Source organism: Homo sapiens, chromosome 7 (assembly GCF_000001405.40).
Source record: "Homo sapiens chromosome 7, GRCh38.p14 Primary Assembly".
In the NCBI taxonomy this organism is placed as follows: Eukaryota; Metazoa; Chordata; class Mammalia; order Primates; family Hominidae; genus Homo; species Homo sapiens.
The window spans coordinates 66,176,251-66,180,505 of NC_000007.14; the positions used below are offsets into that span (position 1 = coordinate 66,176,251).

Consider the following 4,255-nt stretch of genomic DNA (forward strand, 5'->3'; position numbering starts at 1 on the left):
ACCTACAATTTATTCTGGATTATACCTTTCTTCCCTAACTTAGTTTTGCCTCCTGTATCAGTTAAGTTTCCTAGTTACAAACATCAGCACATACTCTAGTTAGCACAGAAAAGGCACTTTTCAAAAAAAATTTATTTATTTATTTATTTATTTGAGATGGAGTCTCACTCGGTAGCCCAAGCTGGAGTGCCATGGTGTGATCTTGGCTCACTGCAACCTCTGCCTCCGGGGCTCAAGTGATTCTCCTGCCTCAGCCTCCCAAGTAGGCAGGGATTACAGGCACCTGCCACAATGCCTGGCTAATTTTTTGTATTTTAGTAGAGACGGGGTTTCACCATGTTGCCCAGGGTGGTCTCGAATTCCTTAGCTCAGGTGATCTGCCCACCTTGGCCTCCCAAAGTGCTGGGATTACAGGTATTTATTTATTTGAGACAGGGTCTCTACCACCTAGGCTGGCTGGCATGCAGTGGTGCAATCATAGCCCATGGCAGCCTCAGACTCCTGGGCTCAAGCCATCCTGCTGCTTCCGCCTCCAGAGTAGCTGTGACTATAGGCACACACCACCACACCCACCTATTCTCTTCCATTTTTTGTAGAAAGAGGATCTCGCTATGTTGCCCAGGCTGGTCTCAAACTCCTGGCCTCAAGCACTTCTCCTGCCTCAGCCTCCCAAAGTGCTGTGATTACAGGCATGAGCCACCACACCCAGCCGAAAAAGCATTTATTATCAGGCACTGGGGAACTCTCAGAACCACTAGGGCCCTGGGCTCCCAGGAACAGTGCCCAGACCACGTTGCAAAACTGAAATGATGAGAGAACCAGCCTTCCAAGTGCAGGACACTGAGCCAATGTGCACTGATGCCAGGGACAGAAACCACTGCATCCACCACTGTCACCAGCACCAATGCCACATGTGTATCTGGAACTCAACCTCACAGCTATTGCCAGCCCCCAGAGCTGGACATTGCTGTGGTCATCCTCACCAGCAGATGGATGGACTCCACATAGAGCCTGCTTTTTCATGTTGTTTATTTAATTAATTCTTTTTTTTTTTTTTTTTGAGACAGAGTCTCACTGTGTTGCCAGATTGGAGTGCAGAGGCACAATCTTGCCTCACTACAACCTCCGCCTTCCAGGTTCAAGCAATTCTCCTGCCTCAGCCTCCCAGGTAGCTGGGACTACAGACAGGCATGTGCCACAATGCCCAGCTAATTTTTGTACTTTTAGTAGAGAAAGGGTTTCACCATGTTGGCCAGGATGGTCTTGATCTCTTGACCTCATGATCTGCCCGCTTCGGACTCCCAAAGTGCTGGGATTACAGGCGTGAGCCACCGTGCCTGGCCTCTTTTTTTTTTTTTTTTTCTGAGACGGAGTCTCGCTCTGTTGCCCAGGCTGAAGTGCAGTGGCGCAATCTGGGCTCACTGCAAGCTCTGTCTCCCGGGTTCATGCCATTCTCCTGCCTCAGCCTCCTGAGTAACTGGGACTACAGGCATCCACCACCACACCCAGCTAATTTTTTCTATTTTTAGTAGAGACGGAGTTTCACCGTGTTAGCCAGGATGGTCTTGATCTCCTGACCTCGTGATCCACCTGCCTTGGCCTCCCAAAGTGCTGGGATTACAGGCGTGAGCCACTGTGGCTGGCCATTTTTTTTTTTTTTTAAGAGACCAGGGTCTGGGACTGGGTGTGGTGGCTGAGGCCTGTAATCCCAGCACTTTAAGAGGCCAAGACGGGTGGATCACGAGATCAGGAGATCAAGATCATCCTGGTTAACATGGTGAAACCCCGTCTCTACTAAAAATACAAAAAATTGGCCGGGCGTGGTGGTGGGTGCCTGTAGTCCCAGCTACTTGGGAGGCTGAGGCAGGAGAATGGCATGAACCCGGGAGACGGAGCTTGCAGTAGGCCAAGATCACACCACTGCACTTCAGCCTGGGAGACAGAGCAAGACCCCATCTCAAAAAAAAAAAAAAAAAAGAGACCAGGGTCTTACTGTGTTGCCCAGGCTAGGGTGCAGTAGCATGATCATAGCTCACTGCAGCCTTGAACTTCTGGGCTCCAGCGATCCTCTCACCTATGCTTCCCAAAGTGATGGGATTACAGGTTGCACCACCATGCCTGGCTCATGTTTATTTCTAAAGTATCACAACAGTATGTTGGATTAGTGGAGCCTCAGTCACATGACCTAGCCTAAGTCACATGACCATTCCTTAGCTGCAAGGGAGGCTGGAGAATCATGCTTCCTGGCTTCTAACTTGGGGGATGGGGTAGTGGCAAGACTCATAAGGCAGAAAATTCTTCAAAATAGCTCACAAGACCGGGCACAGTGGCTCATGCCTGTAATCCCAGCACTTTGGGATGCTGAGGCAGGTGGATCACCTGAGGTCAGGAGTTTGAGACTAGCCTGGCCAACATGGTGAAATCCTGTCTCTACTAAAAATACAGAAATTAGCCAGGCGTGGTGACGCACGCCTGTAATCCCAGCTACTGGGAAGTCTGAGGCAGGAGAATCACTGGAAGCTGGGGAGTAAAGATTGCAGTGAGTCAAGATCGTGCCACTTCACTCTAGCCTGGGTGAAAAAGCAAAACTCCGTCTCAAAAAAAAAAAAAAAAAGAAATACATTCTGTAAGGCTGTGGCTACCATAGCTAGTGATTCCTTTTCTCAAATGGGCACAGTGACTCACGCCTGTAATCGCAGCACTTTGTGGGGTGGAGACGAGCAGATCACCTGAGGTCAGGAGTTCGAGACCAGCCTGGCCAACATGGAGAAACCCCATCTCTACAAAAAATACAAAAATTAGCTGGGTGTGTTGGCACATGCCTGTAATCCCAGCTACTTGGGAGGCTGAGGCAGGGAGAATTGCTTGAACCCGGGAGGCAGAGGTTGCAGTGAGCTGAGATCATGCCACTGCACTCCAGCCTAGGTGACAGAGTGAGACTGTCTGAAAAAAAAAAAAAGTCAGCTCACAAACATGACAAATATCCACAACACAGTTATAAACATAATGACTGGGCATGGTGCTTTACGCCTGTAATCCCAGCACTTTGGAGGCCAAGATGGGTGGATTGCTTGAGCCCAGGAGTTCGAGACCAGCCTGGATGACATAGCAAGAACCCCGTCTCTAAAAAAATAAAAATTAAAATAAAAAAAGCAAAAAATAGCCAGGTGTGGAGGCATATACCTGTAGTCCCAGCTATTTGGGAGGCTGAAGTGGGAGAATTGATTGGGCCTGAGAGGTTGAGGCTGTAGTGAGCCAAGATGGTGCCACTGCACTCCAGGGTGACACAGAGACCCGGTCTCAAAAACAAACAAACAAAAGAATAGACAAAATAACCACTGAGAAATCTGTGAAGAATAAGAGTGAGTAGGCCGGGTGTGGTGGCTCACGCCTGTAATCCCAGCATTTTGGGAGGCTGAGGCAGGTGGATCACGAGGTCAGGAGATCGAGACCTTCCTGGCTAACACAGTGAAACCCCATCTCTACTAAAAATACAAAAAATTAGCCAGGCGTGGTGGCGGGCACCTGTAGTCCCAGCTACTCGGAAGGTTGAGGCAGGAGAATGGCGTGAACCTGGGAGGTAGAGCTTGCAGTGAGCAGAGATCGCGCCACTGCACTCCAGCCTGGATGACAGAGTGAGACTCCTCAAAAAAAAAAAAAAAAGTAATAAGCCGGGTGCAGTGGCTCATCCCTGTAATCCCAGCACTTTGGAAGGCCAAGGCGGGCAGACCACCTGAGGTCAAGAGTTGGAGAACAACAACAAAAAAAAAAGAGCTGGAGAACAGCCTGACCAACATTAAGAAACCCCATCTCTATTAAAAATACAAAATTAGCCGGCCGTAGTGGCGCATGCCTGTAATCTAATCCCAGCTACTCGGGAGGCTGAGGCAGGAGAATCGCTTAAATCCGGGAGGTGGAGGTTGCAGTGAGCCGAGATCATGCCATTGCACTCCAGCCTGTGCAACAAGAGCAAAACTCTGTCTCAAAAAATAAAGAGTAATAACAGAGATTCTTCCTCTTATGTGGAAAAATACGTTGTAAAACTGTAATCATGTGTAACACCAGAATGAGAATAGATAAATCATTGAGGTATATATACATATACACATATATATATAAGTCTCGGGAGAAAATGGACTTATGTAAACACTCACACTTTACATCCAAGTTAATAACAAATGCATTAAAGAGTTAAACTGATTTGTTAATCCATTAAAATACTAGAGAGAAAGTATTTATTTATTTATTTATTTAG

At 47.9% G+C, this 4,255-nt stretch overlaps 1 annotated feature.

The window, feature by feature from the left end:
- Window positions 1,689–1,852: a silencer, noted in NCBI's record as "fragment chr7:65642926-65643089 (GRCh37/hg19 assembly coordinates)". NCBI's record gives its function as "represses an EF-1alpha promoter that drives an FKBP-Casp9 reporter gene in an ReSE screen in K562 erythroleukemia cells {active_cell/tissue: K562}" and the evidence as "EXISTENCE:reporter gene assay evidence [ECO:0000049][PMID:32094911]".